The sequence below is a fragment of the Homo sapiens genome, chromosome 1, assembly GCF_000001405.40.
Source record: "Homo sapiens chromosome 1, GRCh38.p14 Primary Assembly".
Lineage (NCBI taxonomy): Eukaryota > Metazoa > Chordata > Mammalia > Primates > Hominidae > Homo > Homo sapiens.
The window spans coordinates 150,698,017-150,722,464 of NC_000001.11; the positions used below are offsets into that span (position 1 = coordinate 150,698,017).

General features: G+C 37.3%; 1 protein-coding gene and 1 pseudogene across 13 annotated transcripts; one reads left to right on the plus strand and one right to left on the minus strand.

Moving 5' to 3' along the window:
• Window positions 1-43: 43 nt before the first annotated feature.
• On the minus strand, window positions 44-22,879 carry HORMAD1 (HORMA domain containing 1). Of its 13 annotated transcripts, none has more exons than XM_047431814.1 (15): window positions 22,788-22,879; window positions 21,457-21,522; window positions 19,122-19,266; window positions 16,599-16,662; window positions 16,069-16,105; window positions 13,817-13,837; window positions 13,529-13,555; window positions 10,878-10,945; window positions 10,240-10,391; window positions 8,537-8,793; window positions 6,261-6,327; window positions 6,102-6,178; window positions 5,294-5,377; window positions 2,096-2,167; window positions 44-110 (listed from the first exon to the last, which is right to left on the minus strand). In XM_047431814.1, the coding sequence occupies exons 2-15, from the start codon at window positions 21,487-21,489 to the stop codon at window positions 90-92; spliced, it is 1,125 nt and encodes a 374-aa protein (XP_047287770.1). In that variant the 5' UTR covers window positions 21,490-21,522; window positions 22,788-22,879; the 3' UTR covers window positions 44-89. The 13 variants fall into 13 exon arrangements, with proteins under 13 accessions (XP_047287770.1, NP_115508.2, XP_047287764.1 ...); NM_032132.5 differs by having other exon boundaries at window positions 44-718; XM_047431808.1 differs by having other exon boundaries at window positions 44-718; window positions 22,617-22,879.
• Window positions 3,850-3,956, plus strand: RNU6-1042P (RNA, U6 small nuclear 1042, pseudogene; annotated as a pseudogene).
• Window positions 22,880-24,448: the final 1,569 nt, after the last annotated feature.

Here is a 24,448-nt window from a genome sequence, read left to right on the forward strand (position 1 = left end):
ATTTCCTGCTACTTAAATAAAAATTAGAAGCGATAAAAGGGCCTACGTACTGAACAATATTTTATTTATGCTGCAAAAAATGCCATACTTTAAAAATCAGTCTTTTTGTCCTGTAAAAAAAAGCATAGTAAAGGTAAAGCACCAATTCTTAAATTGTACATTATATATTAAAATGTTAATACATTATGTCAAAATATTGAAGAACATTGTTTTAATAACAGCACAATGACAAAAGAGCCAGTTAAATGGTATAATTTTAACATAAGTAAAAAGTGAATCCATACCAAATTTTAATACCAAAGTAAACATTACTGTTTAGAAAAATGGCATTAGAGGGCCTTAACAGTTAGTATATATTTAAAGGAAATATTAAGTAGGTAATGAACAAAATCAATTTTGAAATTTTACTTATTACCGAATCAATTATGACATTTGTACTTTTGCTTTTATTCAAAAGTTCTATTGGATTTATCTCAAGATTAAGGACCACAATATGACAGTCAGCCAAAAACTTAGTTTTAGTGTACAAACTGCTTTAAACTACATATACATCTTCAGAGTTAGGGAAATATAATATAGGGTCCTTCAGTTTAAATGGTGAGAAGAACTCTGCAAGCCTGCAGAACAAAAATAATTTTTATATATGTTCCTTTGGTTCACTAAACTTTCTCCTTTTTGGCACTGACTCTTGACTAGAAGAATCAAAGTGATGGAGGACCTGTCAAAAGAAAACAACTACTAAGAATAGATACTTTCCTGTTTAAATGTCTTTAATTGTAGATTTTTTCATGTATCTGAGATTTCTCTTCTTTTTAAAAAAATTTATGCCTAGCATACCTAGCATAACTATATCTGGGTTTCTTAAAAGTAGAGTAAAATTTATTATTAACATCTTCCAATGGCTGCTGAAAGTATGTACTTGCAAAATGTATAATCTTCAGTAGGGCTGCTCTAGAAGTGAGAAGATAGATTTAACATTATGTCCTCAAAATAGCCAAATATTTCAGAGCAATAAGAAGGGAAAAAAGATTTTAAAATGAACTACAAATAGAAAAACATTCTACCTTGGAATCATGTACGATTTAAATCATGTCTTGCTTTTGTACTCTTGAGACGTTAACATTTGAGTTTTAAAAATAGTCTTAGGTTTTCAGTTGTTTAATTCTAACCTACTAATAATACTAAAATATCTAGTTGGAAAAATATGAATAATTATCTCAGAAATGGCAAATACATTATCTGATTTGGTAAAATAAGGTTCTAAATATGAAACAACTATAGGGTTTAAGTCAGGAAAATATTTTTTTCTCCAGAGGTACTAGGAGGAGACCCTATATTTTTAGGGAACACATGTATTTAGTAAATTATCCTCCTTCTACTTCAGTTTTGATCTCTAGAAAGCTCAGATCAAATTTGTGGCCCAATTTCAGTTCTATATAAACAAAATGGCCTTAGTATTCTTGTACTGTCACTTTCTCATTCTATATTCTCTTATATTTTTCCTGGCACTGATTTTTTTTTTTTTTAAAGACGGAGTCTTGGTCTGTCGCCAGGCTGTAGTACAGTGGCGCGATCTTGGCTCACTGCAACCTCCACCTCCCAGGTTCAAGCGATTCTCCTGCCTCACCCTCCCGAGTAGCTGGGACTACAGGCGTGCGCCACCACGCCCAGCTATTTTTTTTTTTTTTTGTATTTTTGGTAGAGACAGGGTTTCACCATGTTGGCCAGGAGGGTCTCGATCTCTTGACCTCGTGATCCACCTGCCTCAGTCTCCCAAAGTGCTGGGATTACAGGCATGAGCCACTGCACCCAGCTGATTTTTAATTTATATATTATAAATTCCTCCAATTACTTTAAATCATTCATGGAATGAGACAGGAGATGTTTACATGGAAAAAACTAATAAACCAACATAGGGCATCTTATTTCAAAATCACCTCGATTTTTAGAACAAAATATATTTAAACAAAATTTGAATATCAGAACTCTCAGGTACATCGAAAGATATCAAATTCATCATTTTAAATTTAATCTGTAGTAATGATATTCTGATCCTTCCCATTGTATTCAAACTATACATTATCATAAGACTTACTATTCTCCCAGATTCATGTTGACTTCTCTTCCGATTTTCTTTGGAAGATTTTACTGGTTGATTTCCATTTGCCTCCACAAAGATAGAATAATTACTAATTGGTTATTTCTCAAAGAACAGCCAACACTTGATTTTTCAATCTTATGCAACGATATGCAATATTTATTTATTTATTTACTTTTTAGGGACAGGGTCTCCCTCTGTCACCCAGGCTGGAATGCAGTGGCACCATCATGGCTCACTGCAGCCTGAAACTTCTGGCCTCAAGGGATCCTCCTGCCTCAGCCTGCCAAAGTGCTGGGATTACAGGAATGAGCTACAGTGCCCAGCTGGATATACAATTTTTTTAAAAAACAGCTTTATTGAGATATAATTTAGATACTATATGATTCACCCATTTATAAGTGTACAATTCAATGATTTTCAGTACCTTCACAGAGTTGTACAACCATCACTACAATCAATTTTACATCACTTTCATCACCCCACAAACAAACCCCATATACCTTAGCTATCACTCTCTTATTCTGCCATCCTCCCACCAGCCTTAAGACTGTCTCAATAACTTTCCCAGTTCTGACTTTCAAATGAAAGGAATAATACAATATGTGGACTTTTGTGAGTAACTTCCTTTAATTAGCATGTTTTCAAGGTTCATCTAAGTTGTAGCATGTATTGGCACTTCATTTTTTTTATGGCTGATATTCAATTGTATGAATATACCACATTTTTTAATCCATTCATCTGTTGATGTATATTTAGGTTTTTCCCATCTTTCGGCTATTGTGAATAATGCTGTATATATAGTTATTAAAATGAATATTGGAAAATGACTAATGATTAGGTGTCATACAACTATTCTCTAAAAGGATATACTTCTTTTCTGATGCTTGAAATGAGCTTTCCAATGATAACTTCCTTAGTATATATAATAATGAATATTTTCATTTCTTGCCCTTTTCTAACCACAATTCAGTAATAATTCTCAAAATCAGGAGTACACTTGCTCAGAGTTCATATCCAAAAACATGTGCAATTTCAGAAATAAATTTATGTCCCTAAATCATCTTAATGTTACATTACAAGGAGATCTTGCTTAATAATTTTTAAAATGCTGGTCTCTATCCCTATATCCTAGTAAAGGTTATTCATCCTACATATAAACTGGCTAGGATGAACATTTTGCTTCTAGAAGTAGTAAATCTTGACATTCCTTTATCTCTTGCTTTCATGAGATACTCATTTGAATGCTGCCTTCTGCCAGTTCTAACTTCCCATTGAGAATAGGGGTGGGGGAAGACACTTAAAAATGGCACTATAATGAGTAGTGTTCCAATAAATGTTTAATAACCAGCTCTAGGAGAGAAACAAACCTTGAGGCATTTGCTGATTTCTGTGCTGTGAATACTACCAACATGTCCAATTTAAGCTACCAACATGATATCTCTGAGTGGGGAGTTGGGAATAAATGTTCTAGCACACCACTAACAGAGTGAGCTATTTATTTCCTAAACTTTAGATATTTTATATATTTTACAGAATGCTTTTTCTTCACCCCAATGAACCTTTGAGAGTAACTTAAAGGTCTAAAATCAAATATGAATTTTGATTTAGTATAATTCATACCAAAAGCTAAAATAAAGCAGTGATTTTTTTCCCTTAAGAATATGAGATTCATTTTATACAAGATATATACAAAAGATTATTTTGTAATGTCTTATTAACAAGATACTCAATTTATAAGACTGAGCATGGTGCTCACTTCAGCAGCACATATGCTAAAATTAGAACGATATAGAGAAGATTAGCATGTCCCTTGCACAAGGATGACATGCAAATTCATGAAGCATTCCATATTTTTCAGAGTGAACAGAGAACCTACAGAATGGGAGAAAATTTCTGCAATCTATCCATCTGACAAAGGTCTAATATCCAGAATCTATAAGAAACTTAAACAAATTTACAAGAAAAAATAAACAACCCCATTAAAAAGTGGGTAAAGGACATGAACAGACACTTCTCAAAAGAAGACATTCATGTGGCCAACAAACATATGAAAAACACTCAACATCACTGATCATTAGAGAAATGCAAATCAAAACCACAATGAGATACCATCTCATGCCAGTCAGAATGGTGATTATTAAAAGTTAAGAAACAACAGATGCTGACGAGGCTATGGAGAAATAGGAACACTTTTACACTGTTGGTTGGAATGTAAATTAGTTCAACCATTGTGGAAGACAGTGTGGTGATTCTTCAAAGATCTAGAACCAGAAATACCATTTGTCCCAGTAATCCCATTACTAGGTATATACCCAGAGGAATATAAATCATTCTATTACAAAGATACATGCACCTGTATGTTCACTGCACCACTATTCACAATAGCAAAGACAGAATCAACCCACATGCCCATCAGTGATAGACTGGATAAAGAAAATAAGCAGCCATAAAAAGAAATGAAATCATGTCCTTTGCAGGGACATGGATGGAGCTGGAAGCCATTATCCTCAGCAAACTAACACAGGAACAGAAAACCAAACACCACATGTTCTCACTTATAAGTGGTAGATAAACAATGAGAACACATGGACACAAAGAGGGGAACAATACACACTGGGGCCTGTCAGGGGGTTGGAGGGAGGGAGAGCATTAGGATAAATAGCTAATGCATGTGGGGCTTAATACCTAGGTAATAGATTGATAGGTGCAGCAAATCACTATGGCACACGTTTACCTATGTAACAAACCTGCACGTCCTGCACATGTATCTTGGAACTTAAATTAAATGAAATTTAAAAAGAAAAAAAGATCAAGCATGGGAACATTCTGGCATTCTAGGAAATTTCTCTGGGAGTCTGGATGATAGTATCACTTCTTCCCAAAACCTTTCCCGGATCCCTCTCTTTAATATACCTTCAGTAAAATTAACCATTCCTTTCTTTGTGCCTATGTAGCCTATTCAGACTTCTATAATGGCTCTGTATCATTGCTTGTTTATTTCCAGTTACTAAACTTCAGCTAAGACCATGAAGTATGTGTTATTCAGGTTATATCCTAAGCACCTAGTAAAGTACCTGACACATAATAGGTACTTAGTAAATACTGGTTTAATAAACGAAATATTAAAATAAACTCACATATGGGGGAGAATTACAAGGTTACAATGGAAAACAAACCTAAAGAGATATTTACCATTTTATTCTGAAAGACTTTTCCACTTCTTGTTTTGCTTTCAGACATATCAAGTTCAGATGTTTTATTGACTAACTGCTCAACCTAAAAAAGAAAATAATTACAAAAAATATAACTTAGTATAATAAAACCTTTTCATAACACAATAAATGGGGTCCAAAAATTTAACCACATAAAATTTAGGGTCTTGTCAAGTTAAAACCAATAATTTTGAGTTGGTTCATACTGTTCAAAAAGCACAAAAGTAAAGATAGTGAAACTGACACTTTACATAATTGGCCAACCACTGAACTGAGAAAGTACCAAATGATCACCAGGCACCACCCTTCCAGAAGACAAGAAATTTAGTCTACTTATTTGAGAAATGGGCTGGGCAGAGGAAGACAGACAATCAATCATCAATCATATTTTTTCCAAGTTCATATTACCTAAATCTCTTATTTCAGGATTTTACTGTATTTGAAAAGCAGAATAAAACATGTATGCTCCAAGGCAACACAAATGTATTATATATTCCACTTATAAATACAAAGCAGGGTGGAATAAATAACTGCATAAGATTCTATCTAGCTCTGAAATTCTCAGATTCTACCAATAGTATTTAGGTTTATTACTAAACAAATCCACCAGTAATATACTCAAAATTCATCAACATATAATTTCCAGATTTAGTTAATAACAAGCATTCTAAATATTGAATTTTATTCTAAAAGACCTGGAATAAGAAAATCTGAAAAATAAAAAATTAGCGCATAAGCAACTGTCCTGTGAACAAAACAAAAGTGAGATGAAACTATCAAGTTTATACCTGAGAATGAGAAATAGAAAGATCTGGACTTTCTTTAGACCTCATAATTTCATCTTCCTCACAAACTAAACTTGGTTCTGTAAAAAAAAAAAAAAAAAGTTACCCGGGTATAAAATTGAGTTGGAAGTGAGTTAATGTACATTTTCATTAACTTCTTACCTTCAAGTTCAGAAGATGCAGGGTTTTTTTCCTGTTCTTCCATTTTAGTTTCAATGTCCAAATCATCCTACATAATTATGTGAAGAAAAAAATTGACACATTTCAAAAAGGAACTAAAACAACTGAGCAGAAAGCATTTATGAACAAATTTGTTTCATGTGAAGGCTAAATACAATATAAAACTACTGGCCGGGCATGGTGGCTCATGCTTGTATTACTAGCACTTTGGAAGGCCATGGAGGGAGGATTGCTTGAGACTAGTAGTTCCAGATTAGCCTGGGCAATATGATGAGACCTCGTCTCTATGAAAAAATTTTAAAAATTAGCCAGGTGTGGTGGCATGTTTCTGTCACCTGAGGCTGAGGTGAGAGGATCGCTTGAGCCCAGAAGTTTGAGGCTGCAGTAGCCGTGATCATCCCACTGCGCTCCAGCCTGGGAGACAGGACGAGACCCTGACTCAAACACAAACAAACAAAAAAACCCAAGCCAGGCGCAATGGCTTACGCCTGTGTTCCCAGCACTTTGGGAGGCTGAGGTGGGCAGATCACTTGGGGTCAGGAGTTGGAGACCAGCCTGGCTAACATGGTGAAATCTCGTCTCTACTAAAAATACAAAAATTAGCCCGGCGTGGTGGCACATGCTTGTAATCCCAGCTACTCAGGAGGCTGAGGCAGGAGAATACCTTGAACCCAGGAGGCTAGAGGTTGCAGTGAACCAAGATCTGCCACTGCACTTCAGCCTCGGCAAAAGAGCAAGACTCTGTCTCAAAAAACAAAACAAAACAAAACAAAACAAACAAACCAGAAAACCCCAAAAACCTACAACTACCTCATGGTTGCTAGAAATAAAAGTGTTCCTAGAATTTCTATCAAAAGGCAATTTATTAATCCAAATAAAGTATAAAATACTATTTTTCTTTATTTTGCAGGGTTGCTTTAAGGACAAATGATAAAAATATACAACTTTCGGCCAGGCGTGGTGGCTCATGCCTGTAATCCCAGCACTTTGGGAGGCACAGGTGGGCAGATCACCTGAGGTCAAGAGTCCGAGACTAGCCTGACCAACATGGAGAAACCCTGTCTCTACTAAAAATACAAAATTAGCCAGGCATGGTGGCACATGCCTGTAATCCCAGCTACTTGGGAAGCTGAGGCAGGAGAATCACTTGAACCTGGGAGGAGGAGGTTGCTGTGAGCTGAGATCGTGCCATTGCACTCCAGCCTGGGCAACAAGAGTGAAACTCTGTCTCAAAAAAAAAAAAAAGTAATAAACAAAAACTCTTCAGAGAGTTATTGAAGGATAAGCTCAGTCATGTTATGGTAGAAATTGCAACAGGTTTAATGTCTACATTACAATTATTGTTCCCTTTGTGATACATGTGAAAGAGATTTAAATATTTTAAAGAATGCTACAAACACCTCAGCCATATTTGTTATAAAGCAAGACTGGGATTTAGGTCTTAGAAAAAAGTTTTTTTCTTTAACTGAATTGGTTGAAAATTGATTGAATTTTCTATGTGTAAAGATGTGGTTAGACAGCCTAATCAGAATAGTGAATCTCTGTACATAAGTACTGTAGTCATAATTTAGAATAAATTGAGACACAGAATACAAGAGAGGTGAGATTAAAGGACATAATGTTAATGCTTGAAAGATTAAAGCAATAATGACTTCCATATTTGCTGGAAGTGAGGCAACAAAAAAACTCTTTTATACTTCTATTCATCCATTCACTCGACTAATACTTAGGACGCACTAACTAGAAATCCAAGTGCTAGGCACAGGATGATTAAAAAGTTGAATGAGACACTTTTCCTGACTTCCAGGAACTTCCAGGCTGCTTCAGAACAGTGACTTTCCAGGCCCTAGAGAAATTCAAGCACAGGCTACCTGAACACTTAGTAGGGATGTTGTAGAAAAGATTCCATCATTAGCCGGGAGTTAGACTAGTGCAATGCTTTTCAAATTATGCCCTAGAGTCCTAGGGGTTTCCTCAGAGTCCACTAAGAAGGTAAGTGACATAGGGAGTGGCAGAGCCTCCAGGAACATTCCCTACTTCAACCAGAATAGTTGTGCTTTTAAGTTCTAGTACAATGTTGTTTGGGCTAAGTAAAAAGTTTTAAAACCATAGGCCTAGACTTTAAGGTCCCTTTCAACCTTGAGTTTATGATTATAATACAGAATTTACACAAATGTTAATGGGAGCTATGAAAAATCTTCAGAATTGAGTCAAACATTTGTTATTATTGTTCTTTATAACTCTTGAAATACACTTACACTTGTATAATGCTCCTGTTCATCTTCTACATCTTTGTCCCTCAGGATTTTTTGAAATGGTGTTTTTATTTGTTTTGGTGATAGTATAGTTGAGTCAATATTTTCCATTCGTTCTCTCTCAGTGGTCACTTTTACTTTGAAGATGTGAAAAGGTGTTGAGACTTCTCCCACATTTAAATACATAGGTTCCCCTTCAAATATAACTCCTTCACAATCACCATCCTTAAAACCGGGAGGCTGGTAATCTGGGGGTGTAACTGCAAAAAAGTAAGTGTAAACTGTGCTGTTCATGAAATTAAAGAAAATATAATTATTATTATAAAAACACACGCAGATTGCAGGTATTTCAAATAGTATATAAGGGCATAAGGTAAAACATACGAATTACTCTCCTGCTATGTCCAAGTCCCCATTTTATTCCCTAAAGGTAAGCTTTGTTTTCTTCACTTGACTGTCTGTGACCTTGAGTAAATTATTCATCATCCCTGATTTGATTTTCTCATCTGTCAAATGGTGAAAATAATAGTACCTACTTCATAGGGTCATTGTGGGAATAAAATAAAGTGTCGTAAAATGTTGAGAAGAGAACTGGCACATAGTAAATACTCAATAAATGTTAGTTGTTATTTTTGTTGCTTTATGTTCTTCTAGAAGACATGCATATAATAAAAGATATTTCATATTTACATAGGTTTTAGGAAATACATATAAAATTTCTTAAAAAACACAAATGAGCTCATACCATTCCATACCTAGCTGGTTTTAACTTAATAATATATCTTGGATAACGTAATTTATCAGCACCTTCTTTTTAACAGCTTGTGTAGTATTCTATTACGCAGATGGACCATAATTTATTTACTCAGTCCCCAATGAAGGACACTGAAGTTGTTTCCAGTTTGTTCCTATTTTAGCCAATGCTATAATCAAAATCCTTATATAACTTTGCGTATTTGCACAATTATATCTTCAATATATTTTTCTCACTATAGAATTTCTGGATTAAAGATAGTGTGCATTTAAAATTTTGATACTGCCAAATTGTCCTCTAAAAATGTTGCACCTGTTTACAGTCCCTCGCGTGTACAAAAGTGCCTGCTCAGCCGGGTGCTGTGGCTCACGCCTGTTATTCCAGTACTTTGGGAGGCCAAAGCGGGTGAATCACTTGAGATCAGGAGTTCAAGACTAGCCTGGCCAACACGGTGAAACCCCATCTGTACTAAAAATACAAAAATTAGCCAGGCATGGTGGCGAGTGCCTGTAGTCCCAGTTACTCAGGAGGCTGAGACAGGAGAATTGCTTGAACCCAGGAGGTGGAGGCTGCAGTGAGCTGAGATTATGCCACTGCACTCCAGCCTGGGAGACAGAGCAAGACTCTGTCTCAAACAAAAAAAAGTTCCTGTTTCCCCACATCCTTATCAATAATGGATTAACACGTTTTACCAATCTGATAAGTGAAAACTGTTAACTCATTGTTAAATTTGAGTGAGGTTATACTTCACATGGATATGTTCCTATCACTAGAGAAGCATCTATTTTAAAGCTTAATTTTGTAAATCTTTCTTTCTTGAATAGTGATATTAAGTGTAAATTTTATAATTTCAAAAAATTTAGGTGCTAAAAATATTTGGAATGGAAACCAATTGTTTCAATAATGATAAAACATATGTACCAACTGAAACAGGATGTATTGCAAATAGTACCTTCATCATAGTAAAAAAGTTTCATGGTCAAACAAACATCATTAGGTAAAGGCCCCAGATTTTGCATTAGGATATAAATCTTGCGAATGAGGAGAATGCTTGCTTTCTTGGTGTCAGTAGACAACATGCTAGATTCGTTGCTTTGGTTTTTACTAGAAGAGAATCACATATTAATTTATTTTATAAAACCTGTGGCTTCTAATATCATAACTTTACATTTTAACTATTTGAGATTCTTATTTCTATTATAGCATTAAGCTGTTAACTTGAAAGTTACCATGTGTTTTAATGTCACTATTATAAAATTTTAATATTAATATCTGCTAGAAATAATAACTTAATTTTACTTAAGTGCATTTTATATGAAGTGTTTAAAGAAAGCACATTATGTTTTAAAATTATATTTCTATATTTCTAATCACCTAAGTTCTCTTTCCACAATTAAAATTGCTTATTATTAGCCACAGAATCCTGGCTTGAAGCTACTGCAAGCCACCACTCCATTTTGCATAGCCACATCTTGATGGTTAATTGGGGATGTCCCCGCAGTTTCAGAATGAATCCTGAGGTTTAGCTATATAGCATTAATATGAATAAGTGGTAATCTGTAATACAAACAGAAAACTATAGAACAATACCTTATGAAGTCCATGAGTGGTCCATTATTGGTGTATTTGAATTTGAATTGGTAACATTCTGAAATTGTCTTAAATAGAAAATATCGCAGTTATGCTTCTGATATTCAGTACTAGCTGCTAAATAGCTATATTCTGTTTTGTATGACTCAACATTTAGTCAATACTTTTTTCTGCCATATTAATCCCTATTGATCCATTGAAACTTTTGATTCCTCATAGTCAGTTTTCATGGTTTGGGTTTGGGGCTTCAGTCTTGGAGAGACATTTATTTCCCAACTCATTGTAATGTATGTTATTGTAGGGAAAAGAGAGATCAGACTGTTACTGTGTCTATGTAGAAAGGGAAGACATAAGAGACTCCATTTTGAAAAAGACTTGTACTTTAAATAATTGCTTTGCTGAGATGTTGTTAATTTGTAGCTTTGCCCCAGCCACTTTGACCCAACCACTTTGATCCAATCTGGAGCTCACAGAAACATATGTTGTATGAAATCAAGGTTTAAGGGATCTAGGGCTGTGCAGGACGTGCCTTGTTAACAAAATGTTTACAAGCAGTATACTTAGTAAAAGTCATCGCCATTCTCTAGTCTCAATAAACCAGGGGCACAATGCATTGCGGAAAGCCGCAGGGACCTCTGCCCTTGAAAGCGGGGTATTGTCCAAGGTTTCTCCCCATGTGATAGTCTGAAATATGGCCTTGTGGGATGAGAAAGACCTGACCGTCCCCCAGCCCGACACCCATAAAAGGTCTGTGCTGAGGTGGATTAGTAAAAGAGGAAAGCCTCTTGCAGTTGAGATAGAGGAAGGCCACTGTCTCCTGCCTGCCCCTGGGAACTGAATGTCTCGGTATAAAACCCGATTGTACATTTGTTCAATTCTGAGATAGGACAAAAACCGCCCTATGGTGGGAGGCGAGACATGTTTGCAGCAATGCTGCCTTGTTATTCTTTACTCCACTGAGATGTTTGGGTGGTGAGAAACAAATCTGGCTTACGTGTACGTCCAGTCATAGTACCTTCCCTTGAACTTAATTATGACATAGATTCTATTGCTCACATGTTTGTTGCTGACCTTCTCCTTATTATCACCCTGCCCTCCTACTACATTCCTTTTTACTAAAATAATGAAGATAATAATCAATAAAAACTGAGGGAACTCAGAGACCGGCGCCGGTGCAGGTCCTTGGTATGCTGAGCGCCGGTCCCCTGGGCCTACTATTGTTTCTCTATACTTTGTCTCTGTGTCTTATTTCTTTTCTCAGTCTCTCGTCCCACCCGACTAGAAATACCCACAGGTGTGGAGGGGCAGGCCACCCCTTCAGTTATTTATACCACATGGAAGGAACTCCTTAGCAGGCAGATAAGGGAGGCAACATACCTCAGCAGAGTGGCTAACACAGGGCATAAATCTTTGCTATACTGTAACCACAGGCAAGCCACTTAAGCCTTAGTTTAAGTATTAGTTTCCCCAGCTAAAAAAGAGATTAAAGACAGTACATATCTCATTGATAGTTGTGAATAAATATTCACAAATGGGATAATTTATACAGGGTACTTTATAAAGTACCTGACATATAGTAAACATTCAATAAATATTATTATTGTATCAACAAGGTTGCTAATTTACTGATAGAAAAAATGCACAACTATATAACATATGAAAATAAATGAACATTTTCTGAACAATCAATTAGTTTTCTGAACACAATCTATTAATTCACAGCCTTTACCCAAATGATCTGCTTTGTCAGCATGGATACATATTAAGCATTAATCGCAGGTGTGAGTATCAAAGAAAAGACACATTCTCAGCCCTCCTGAAGCCTGAATACTTCTATTGCTTTCTTTATATTTCATTGCTTACATAGTGATGTTTTTAAACGTCTATTTTTAACACCAGTTTAAATCTACCTCTCCTTGACTGAATGAAACGTTATATTGTAACAGCTATAGCGTAATGGGTAAACACCCAAATTGTGAACTGGCCTTCCTAGGTTCAAAAACCTGGTTCTGCCACTTCAGCCACTATGACCTTAGGCAAGAAACCCCTTGTACTTAGATTTCCTCATCTGTAAAGCGGAGATGCTAATAGTGGTTACCTCATGAAGGTTGGGATGAATAAATGAGATAATGCACATAAAGCCCCAAAGAACAGAGCCTAATATAAAGTAAGCACTCAGTAGATCTTTCCCCCTTGTTTCTTATCTTCTGGTTTTCCCTTTCACGTTCTCCCTTCTCTCCTTTAATGGTAAGATAAATAGGTAGCTATGAATGGATTGGGATGAATATTCGAAGTTTAAGGATGACTTTCTTACTTTCCTAAAACTCAAGCCCTTTCATAATTCTAAAATGTAGTATAAAAAATACTATAAAGAATTAGACGTCAGGAGATTTAAGTTAAGTTTCTAACAGTTTGTAAGCTTTGTGGCCTAAGATCAGTCACATAATCTCTGTCATGCTAATCTGTTTAAAGGTAACAATCCAAGCCCTGCCTTACCTCAGAAGAGTTTTATGAAGCTCAAATGTGAAAATATATATGAAAGTATATTGATTAAAGCATAATTAAAAGCATAAGATATTCTTATATTATGTTTCGTGTTATTTTTAGATATTAGAGGCATTATGTTTCTTTAGTAACTCAAGCACACTTACCTGAGGATCTTCTGGGTTTGTGTATACCTATTTAAAAACAATTTACAATTGAGTTATCTAAGGCTAAGTATTCAAGAACTAAATTAGATGTTTAGACTAAACTTCATGTGAACTCAGCAAAACAAACAAATAAAAATGACCACCCAAAATATTACTTTTTCATTCCATTGAATAGATCAGTTATTTGAATAATGTGACATAATCAATTGATAGTTTTAGTGTCATTTAATTAAGCAAGGCCAAATTTGGCAGTATTAAAAAAAGAACACACAATTTAAAAATACTTACAGCTAGAACAACCATCCTTAGCTGAAATACAACAAAGAACAAAAATCTTACTTGTAGTCTATAAAATAATTTTTCATTACGAATCATAAGAATTCTTTGTCCTATTTCAACATGTATTCCTAATAACAAATAATCATTGCAGATCTTGACTGCATAAGATCAATGCCTATAATGCAGTACCTTAGATATGCTTCCCTATCCCCTGAAATATCTATTGCTACTAAAATTACTGATGATTGAAATTCATGTCAGCACTTTATTTCATTGACTTAAGCAAAAAGGACATTACTGCCAGTTACAAGGAAAAAATATATATATTGTGAAATAACACAATATATGTGTTATACTGAAAACAATGAGAACTGATTTTGAAAAAAGAAAAAGCAGAGTTCAGGGCCCTATGAATTCAACAGAGGGAGGAAGTTTTGGAGACCATAGGAAAAGAAAATCATAGAAAATAATTTAATCAAGTGATCTGCCAAAAATCTAAGAGTCATCCTTGATTCTGATCTTTTCCTTGTATTACACAACCAGTCCATCAACAAATCCAATCACTTCTACTGCCAAATCTATCCTGAATCTCCTCTCTCTGCTATCCTGGTCTAAGCAACCATTATTTCTCACCAGTACTACAGTAATGGCCTAGGTGCTATTCTCCTTACTCCCAATCTTAATCTCCTTCTACAGCATATTCTCTAAGTTGTAGGCAAAGTGATTTAAAACAATTATTTTTTAAGACAGAGTATCACTCTGTCACTCAGGCTGGAGTACAGTGGCATGATCTCAGCTTACTGCAATCTCCACCTCCCAGGTTCAAGCGATTCTCCTGCCTCAGCCTCCTGAGTAACTGGGATTACAGGCGCGCCAACACGCCTAGCTCATTTTTGTATTTTTAGTAGAGACAAGGTTTCACCATGTTGGCCAGGCTGGTCTCAAACTCCTAACCTTAGGTGATCCACGTGTCTTGGCCTCCCAAGGTGCTAGGATTACAGGCATGAGCCACCACGCCTGGCCTAAAACAATTTTTAAATGTAAATCAAATATTACATTTCTATGTATAAGCTTTGAATGGCTTTTCTTTGCACCTAAAATAAAAGCCACTGAGTGCTCTGGCCCTGCTTATCTGCCCAGGCTCATCTCATGTTATTCTCCCCCACTGGACAATTGCCCTCAGTCATATTGGCCTTCTTTTTGTTCCTGGAACTCTCTAAACTTCCAATTCTTTGCATTTGCTGCTCTGCCAGGAGTATTCTCTCCTAAAATCAATGCCTGGCTGGTTTCTTCTCATTCAGGTCTCTTCAATGTCACTTCCTCAGAGAAGCTCCTATGACCATCCCATCTAAAGTTACTTCACCTTTCCATTTACCACATACTTTTGCTAAAAATTTTAATGGCAATTTAACATTATTGAAAAGTATATGATTTGTTTTATTAACTACTTGTTTTCCTACTTTACAAGGGACCTTTTTTGTTTTGTTGATCACTGTTAGCTTACCCAGTTCCTACCTAGAAGAGATGCCTAACACATAACGGGCGCTCAATATTTACTACGCCTTAATGGGGAAGATTAGGAACCATGAATAAAAATTAATCTTCTTGAGGCTGAGGCAGGAGAATGGCGTGAACCTGGGAGGCGGAGCTTGCAGTAAGCCGAGATGGTGCCACTGCATTCCAGCCTGAGCGACAGAGCAAGACTCCATCTCAAAAAAAAAAAAATTTCATCTTCTTCACAATTAGCCTAGTGCTGGACTTCATTATGCAAGTTGGTACTAAATTATACTAAGTATGCAAAAAGGATTACAATACATCTTAAAACCTTCTTAATTTTGCTAATTCAGAATTTGTGACAATTTAACCTAGATTATGTGGAAATTTATTTTTGAACCCTAATAAGGAAATAATTTATTAAATTATTAGTATAAACAAGCTTGTAGAAGGCATGTGAAACTAATGAATAAACTATTTGAAAAGACTCTTTAATTCATTAACTTTTTTGTAAGTTAACACGTGTTATTAATACAAATAAGTGTTAAAAAAACTAGCTTGGAAAAATTTGTTTAGTGTTAATTCCATTATCTTTAAATGAGTTGATGATTAGTCTTTAAAATATTCAAATGTTTAGGCTTTTCAGTAATTCAGACTGACCTACACTCAAGTTAGTTCAAATGAATGTTTTACTACATCATAACTCCAGTTATATTTGTAGATCATAAACTGTAGAAAAAAAAGGATAAAGAGATTGCAAGACTTACATATTTTTTCTGTAAAGCATCATAACATCCTAGCATCCTAAAAAAAAAATCAAGGATTCATTTTTAGACTGAATGCATTTCCAGAAAATAGTTATTTTCATAAATTTCCATATTATCTCATTACTAAATAATACAAAAATGTCTTATTAAAGCTCCCTTCTTATTAACTAGCTTAAAACAAGACAAAACATAAAAAACAATGTGGCAGAAATGTAAAATGATGATAGAGATGGAAGGGAAAATACAAAATATCTGACAGCTATTTGTGGGGAACAATAATAAAATAAATAAAGCCTGCTTGCATGGGGCACAAAATAAAGAAACATTTATTTTTAAAATTTATTTTTCCAAATACCCAGACTTCAAGGAGAGGAAAACTTCGGTGGAAAATTTAATGACCTACAAAAATGCTATCTAGCATTAAAGGGTGATTCACTAAAATTTGGTTAAACACCAAAGGTATCCAAGGTACAAAAAAAAGTAAAATGAGAAAAAAATAATTTTCTCTCTTTAGGTATTCTTTTACTTGCCATTTCACTAACTGTGTAGATCCTGGGCAATTTTTATCTTCTCTCAGTATTTTGACACAAAGATCTAAACACAAAAATGATGAAATATAGAGTTACTTAAGAAAAGTAAACAACTAGAAATTTTAAATGAAGTTTATTTTCTTCTGCTGTGTATTACAGGTAAATTATTATTATAATTATTATTATTTTGAGACAGGGTCTCACTCTATCACCCAGGATGGAGTGCGGTGACATGATCTCGGCTCACTGGAACTTCTGCCTTCCGAGTTCAAGCCATTCTCCCACCTCAGCCTCCCCAGTAGCTGGGACTTCAGGTGCGCCACCATGACCGGCTAATTTTTGTATTTTTTGGTAGAGACAGGGTTTCCTCATGTTGGGCAGACTAGTCTCGAACTCCTGACCTCAGGTGACCCGCCTGCCTCAACCTCCCAAAGTGCTGGGATTACAGGCGTGAGCCACCTTGCCCAGCACAGGTAAATTATTAATAGCAATAATTAATATTATTAATGTAATTAAAGGAAGAAAGGTTATATGAAAGTAGTATTTTAATATTTATTATAAGATGCCATCATAATAATTAGGATGCAAGCTGATGGGTACAAAAATATTTCATAAAAAACTTATAGAATCCATGAAATTAGATATGTTGCTTTCATGCCATTGTTATACAAGAATCTTAGAATCTTATCCCAGTAAAATACTTGTAAAGGCCAAGAACTTAACGGGCTATCAAAAACAAAGAGGCCTGCAAAGAAGCAACATGTAACACAGTGGAAAAGACTGAGAGTCTCTCATATCCTCAGGTACCTTAATTGAAAAACAGGTATTTGTAAGACTGCTACATGAATTAACAAGATATCGTATATAACATAGTGCTTAACATATTGCCCAGCACATAACTGGTGTACAATATTATGCATGTATAATGTACTGAGAAATAAGTTATTATTGTAGTATAAACTGGCTGTATTATTATTATTATTTTAATTTAAAAAATAGAGATGGAGTCTCCTTATGTTGACCAGGCTGGTCTTGAATTCCTGGCCTCAAGTGATCCTCCTGCCTCAGCCTCCCAAAGTGCTGGGATTACAGACGTGAGCTTCCACGCCTGGCCCTGGCTGTATTATTTTTACTTCCTTAAAATAGCACAAGAACATACACTACTACTGTATGTTTTCTATTGATTTCTTTCATCATTATAAGCATAATTTCAGGTAAAATTATACTTGAGAAACTGAGGAAAAATTTTATGATTAAGTGCTTCTAAAGGTATTGAATATATATATATATGTATATATTTTAAAACCATTTAGTTATCCAAACAAAAACAAAAACTTGTACATCAGTGCGGCATTATTCATAATAGCCAAAAAGAGAACCCAAATGTTCATCAACTAATAAAGGGATAAATAAAATGTGGTACAGCCATGCAATAGAACATTATTCAGCAACAAAAAGGGATGAAGCACTGATCCATGCTACAATACGGAGGAACCTTGAAAACATGCTAAGTGAAAGCCAGTCACAAAGGACCACTTTTTTTTTTTTTTTTTTTTTTTTTTTTTTTGAGACTGAGTCTTGCTCTGTTGCCAGGCTGGAGTGCAGTGGCACAATCTCGGCTCACTGCAACCTCCGCCTCCCGGGTTCAAGCGATTCTCCTGCTCAGCCTCCCAAGTAGCTGGGACTACAGGCATGCACCACCATGCCCGGCTAATTTTTGTATTTTTAGTAGAGACGGGGTTTCACCATGTTGGCCAGGATGGTCTCCATCTCTTGACTTTGTGATCCGCCCGCCTCGGCCTCCCAAAGTGCTGGGATTACAGGCGTGAGCCACTGCACCCGGCCAGGACCACATTTTATATTATTTCATTTATATGAAATGTCCAGAGTAAGTAAATCTGTACAGACAGAAAGTAGATTGGTGATTGCCTAGGACTGGGAAGGTTGAGGGGAAGTGCACAGTGCCTTAAGGGGTATGGAGTTTCTTCTTGGGATGAAGAAATGTTCTAAAATTGACTGTGGTGATGGTTGTACAAATCTGTTAATTTATTAAAAATCATTGAAATGGGCCGGGCGCGGTGGCTCACGCCTGTAATCACACCACTTTGGGAGGCCGAGGCGGGCAGATCACAAGGTGAGGAAATCGAGACCATCCTGGCTAACACGGTGAAACCCCGTCTCTACTAAAAATACAAAAAATTAGCCGGGCGTGGTGGCGGGCGCCTGTAGTCCCAGCTACTCGTGAGGCTGAAGCAGGAGAATGGCGTGAACCCAGGAGGTGGAGCTTGCAGTGAGCGGAGATGGCACCACTGCACTCCAGCCCGGGCGAGACCCCGTCTCAAAAAAAAAAAAAAAAAAAATCATTGAAATGTACACTTTAAACAAGTGAACTGTCAGGTACGTGAATTGTATTAATAAAGCTTCTATTAAAATAAAATTTCTAAGTCAAAAATTATAGTTTTGGAGCAAGCAAAAATAAAAATACCATTTTAAAAGAAAGCTTTAAAATAAATATTGTATTACCATCTAGATATCTTGTTCCATAAGCGCATTCTGGGAATATTCCCCTCAAATACGTGATACAGGATACTGAAACTGCTAGAAGCCTCTTCACTAACACCAAAGACTGGTGTTCAGTTGATATCTTATTGGGAAATACCAGTGCACTCTAAAATTCAAGGGAAAGTAGAACACTTTATTTAAATTTATTAAAAATAAAGTTTCTCTTGACTTAACATATATCCAATTTTGTATAATCATAGTACTCACCCCAAGAATTCCTCCCTATATTGGTTAGTAATCCCCCAAAAGTCAGAGCGGCATGTAAAATGTGAGGGTATTTCTAGGGTAATAGCCTAAAGGACATATGCAAAAAGTATCTAAAAATCTTTTAATTTTTTTTTTTTATTTTTAAAAAAATTGAGACAGGATCTCACTGTATTGCCCAGGCTGGAGTGCAGTGGCACAATCACAGCTGCCTACAACCTCCATTGGATGCAAGTTGATGGGCACAAAGTATTTCATTAAAAAAGTATAGGCCGGGTGCAGTGGCTCACGCCTGTAATCCCAGCACTTTGGGAGGCTGAGGCGGGTGGATCACAAGGTCAGGAGTTCAAGACCAGCCTGGCCAAATGGTGAAACCCTGTCTCTACTAAAAATACAAAAATTAGCTGGGCGTGGTGGCAGGCACCTGTAAACCCAGCTACTCTTGTAATCCCAGCACTTGGGAGGCTGAGGCAGGGAATTGCTTGAGCCCAGGAGGCAGAGGTTGCTGTGAGCCAAGATCGCACCACTGCACTCCAGCCTGAGTGACAAAGCGAGACTCCATCTCAAAAAAAAAGTATATAATCATTATATAATTCTTCAGATTATATTCAAATATATCAAATGCTTGTATTTTGAGGATGAATAAAACAAATGTTAATAGTGGCTGGTATTTTAAAAACACCTTTTTGGGACACCCATATAAAGTGTTTTTCAGTTTAATGGTTTTTAGTTTATTCACAGAGGTGTGTGTGCAACAATCACCACCAATTTCATAACATTTTCTTCATCCCAAAAAGGAAACCCATACCAATTAGCAATCACTCCCTGTCCCTTATCCCATCCCACGTCCTACCCATTAGCCTATCTGTCCCTATAAATTTGCCTATTCTAGACATTTCATATATCCTCGCACAACCTCTAAAGTAGCTGAGACTACAGGCGTTGCACCACCATGCCTGGCTAATTTTTTTTTTTTTTTTTTTTGTAGAGATGAGATCTCACTATGTTACCCAGGCTGACCTCAAACTCTTGCGCTCAAGCAATCCTCTCACCTCAGCCTCAGCTCAAAAAGTACCTAAAAATCTTAAGAATCCCCTTGCAGATTAACTGTCTGTAAATGCATAACACATGGATAGATTACATTGATTTTTCTCTTTGGTCACTGAGTAGGTATAACAGAGGTTAAGTGTAATGCAAAATCCTATACAAATATAGCAAATGCATATTTGTGTCTCGGTTACAAACATTCATTTTCTTTCTTTTTGAGACGGAGTCTCACTGTTACCCAGGCTGGAGTGCAGTGGTGTGATCTCGACTCACTGCAACCTCCCCCTTCTGAGTTCAAGCGATTCTCCTGCCTCAGCCACCTTCATAGCTGAGACTACAGGCGTGAGCCACCGTGCCCGGCCTCATTTTCTTATTTATTTAATTTTATTCTGCTTATATATTGAACATTCATGTTCTAGAGGTGGACTGCTATGAACAATAATTTCATCAAAGCAACAAAGCAGTATTCATTAATACCTAATGTAAATTAAATGTGAATGAGCAATTTAATGCAATGCAGCAAACATCCAATAGAATTCTCAATTAATGCCGGGCGCGGTGGCTCACGCCTGTAATCCCAGCACTTTGGGAGGCCGAGGCGGGCGGATCACGAGGTCAGGAGATCGAGACCATCCCGGCTAAAACGGTGAAACCCCGTCTCTACTAAAAATACAAAAAATTAGCCGGGCGTAGTGGCGGGCGCCTGTAGTCCCAGCTACTTGGGAGGCTGAGGCAGGAGAATGGCGTGAACCCGGGAGGCGGAGCTTGCAGTGAGCCGAGATCCCGCCACTGCACTCCAGCCTGGGCGACAGAGCGAGACTCTGTCTCAAAAAAAAAAAAAAAAAAAAAAAAAAAAAAAAAAAAAAAGAATTCTCAATTAATTCAAAATACTTCAGCAAATATCTTCATTTCTTAAAACATGCAGTTTCCTGGTATCATAAAACCCTCAAATAGTTGAGCCCTAACTTCCAACAGAGTATTTGAGACTTCAAGAAACAATAAAAGCAGCTATTATTAAGATATACCAAAATACAAGAAATCATACCATGGGAGTCCTCTGCAACTGGGCAGTGGCCATCTTCTTCTGATAAAGTATTTTCTTTAATTCAACCTTGTGACACAAATACAAGCTTTAACTTAGAGCTCATTTTTTTCCTCTAACATTTCAGTTTACCACATATAAAATTCAAAACAATTTTATGTGAATAAATTTGAATTTCTTTAATTAAAATAGAGTCTTCAAAAACGTAGAGGTCGATATTGCAGTAGAACCATTTTGAGTAGGGTCCTGATTTGAAGCCATTTGACTAGCAAGTCTCAAACAAATGGGTTATTAAGAAACTGTTTAAGAGAACTTTTTAAAAAGGCACAATCTTCCTATTTTTATTCCCTATACAAATTCAAACAATGACAACATTGTACAGGTAGGTATTCAGTAATGAAAAATTGCCTGGCAAACCCTCTAAACTTTTTCAGTTTTATTTGTTTTTATTTTTCATTTTTTTGAGACGGAGTTTCGCTCTGTCGCCAGGCTGGAGTGCAGTGGCGCGATCTCAGCTCACTGCAAGCTCCGCCTCCCGGGTTCAAGCGATTCTCCTGCCTCAGCCTCCCGAGTAGCTGGGACCACAGGTGCCCACCATATATATATATACAATTTTTTTTTTCGAGACGGTGTCTCTCTCTGTTGCCCAGGCTGGAGTGTAATGGCGCGATCTCGGCTCACCGCAACCTCCCCCTCTGGGTTCAAGTGATTCTCCTGCCTGAGCCTCCTGAGTAGCTGGGACTCCAGGCGTGCCACCACGCCCAGCTAATTTTTGTATTTCTAGTAGACACGGGGTTTCACCATGTTGGCCAGGAAACTCCTGACCTCGTGATCCGCCCGCCTCGGCCCCCAAGGTGTTGGGATTATAGGCGTGAAGCACCGTGCCCGGCCGCTAATTTTTTTTTCTATTTTTAGTGGAGACGGGGTTTCGCCATGTTGGTCAGGCTGGTCTCAAATGATCCTCCGGCCTCAGCCGCCCAACTTGCTGGGATTACAGGAAGTTGTGTGTCCGGAACCACTGTGTCCGGCCCCAGTTTCACTTTTCTTAATCAGACAATTCAGCTGGAAGAGTTTACTAAAGAGGCAAACTTCATAGAAGAACCTATTTACGTTAAACGTTTAAATTTATCCTGACAAATCCTGAATTCGCCGTCCGTACTCACCCCATCTCAAGAACCTCTGTTGACAAGTAAGTGGGTATACATTTTTACCGCAAATGTTTTACCACTAAGACCTTAAGAAACTTAAAAGTAGGGGGAAGCTGACAGACAAAGAGATTAAAAAGTAAAATATACGCACACACACACAGATATATACACACTAATATATATTACATTACGTCTGAGGGGCGGGCGCCGGAGACCAGAAGAGCTGCACGAGGCTGCACGCGCTGTGCCCGACGCGCATGCGCTTTCCTTCAACGGTCACCCGCTGGGGCGCGACAGTGGCTTTTTGACCCCTGGTCGAGGTCACCTTTCCCGCCAAGCGCAGCGCAAGGCGCACTGGGAGCCTCAGACACGGGAAGCCTCAGCGCCACGTCTCAGGCAGTGGAAAAGCCAGACAGAAGGGGGAAGGTTAAGTAACTGCATGTGCAGTTACTGAATTTCTGATTGTTTTTCTGACTTTTGATTTTCTTTCTTTTTTTTTTTTTTTTTTTTTTGAGACGGAGTTTTGCTCTTGTCGTCCAGGCTGAAGTGCAGTGGCATGATCTTGGCTCACTGCAACCTCTGCCTCCAGGGTTCAAGCAATTCTCCTGCCTCAGCCTCCCAAGTAGCTGGGATTACAGGCGTCCGCCACCATGCCCAGCTAATTTTTGTATTTTTAGTAGAGACGGGGTTTTGCCATGTTGGCCAAGCTGGTCTCAAACTCCCGACCTCAGGTGACCTGCCTCCCTCGGCCTCCCAAAGTGCTGGGATTACAGGCGTGAGCCACCACACCCGGCTGACTTTTGATTTTCTCATTGGAACTACCACAAATTGCATTCCCACCTTCCAATCTCCTGTATCTTCAGGAAACCATTTGCTTTAGCAGTCTTCTACTTAGCCACTTCCACTGTGTTATGTCATTGGGGACAATGGATAGCTTTGAATGTAATTTGTCTCATTTAGAAACAAAATAAAATCAGAGTGGGTAGGTATTAATAGTTGGAGATTATTCAGTAGTACAAGCTTCTTAGTTTACAGATTATTATATATCCAAATACATTTCTTACCAGTGTAAACATTCAATTACAGGCATACCTTGGAGATATTGCAAGTTCAGTTCCAGACCCTCCAATAAAGCAAACAACATAATAAAGCAAATTACACAATTTTTTAGTTTTCCATGTGTATAAAAGTTATGTTGGCTAGATGTGGTGGCTCATGCCAATAATCCCAGCACTTTGGGAGGCTGAGGCGGAACAATTGCTTGAGGCCAGAAATTGGGGATCAGCTTGGGCAACAAAGTGAGACCCTGTCTCTACAAAAAATAAAAAAAATTAGGCAGAGGTTGTGGCACACACCTGTAGTCTCAGCTACTCAGGAGGCTTAGGCAGGAGGATCCCTTGAGCCCAGGAGTTTGCAGTGGCAGTGAGCCCTGTTTGAGCCACTGCACTCCTGCCTAGGCGGCAGTGAGACTTGTTTCAAAAAAAAAAAATTATGGTTACACTATTAATATCTTAATATATATATATAAATTTTTTTTTTTGAGACGGAGTCTTGCTCTGTCTGTCGCCCAGGCTGGAGTGCAGTGGTGCGATCTCGGCTCACTGCAAGCTCCACCTCCTGGGTTCACACCATTCTCCTGCCTCAGCCTCCCAAGTAGCTGGGACTACAGGCGCCCGCCACCACACCCGGCTAATTTTTTTGTATTTTTAGTAGAGACAGGGTTTCACCGTGTTAGCCAGGATGGTCTTGATCTCCTGACCTCGTGATCTGCCCGCCTTGGCCTCCCAAAGTGCTGGGATTACAGGCATGAGCCACTGCGCCCAGCCCTTAATATATTTATTGTACAT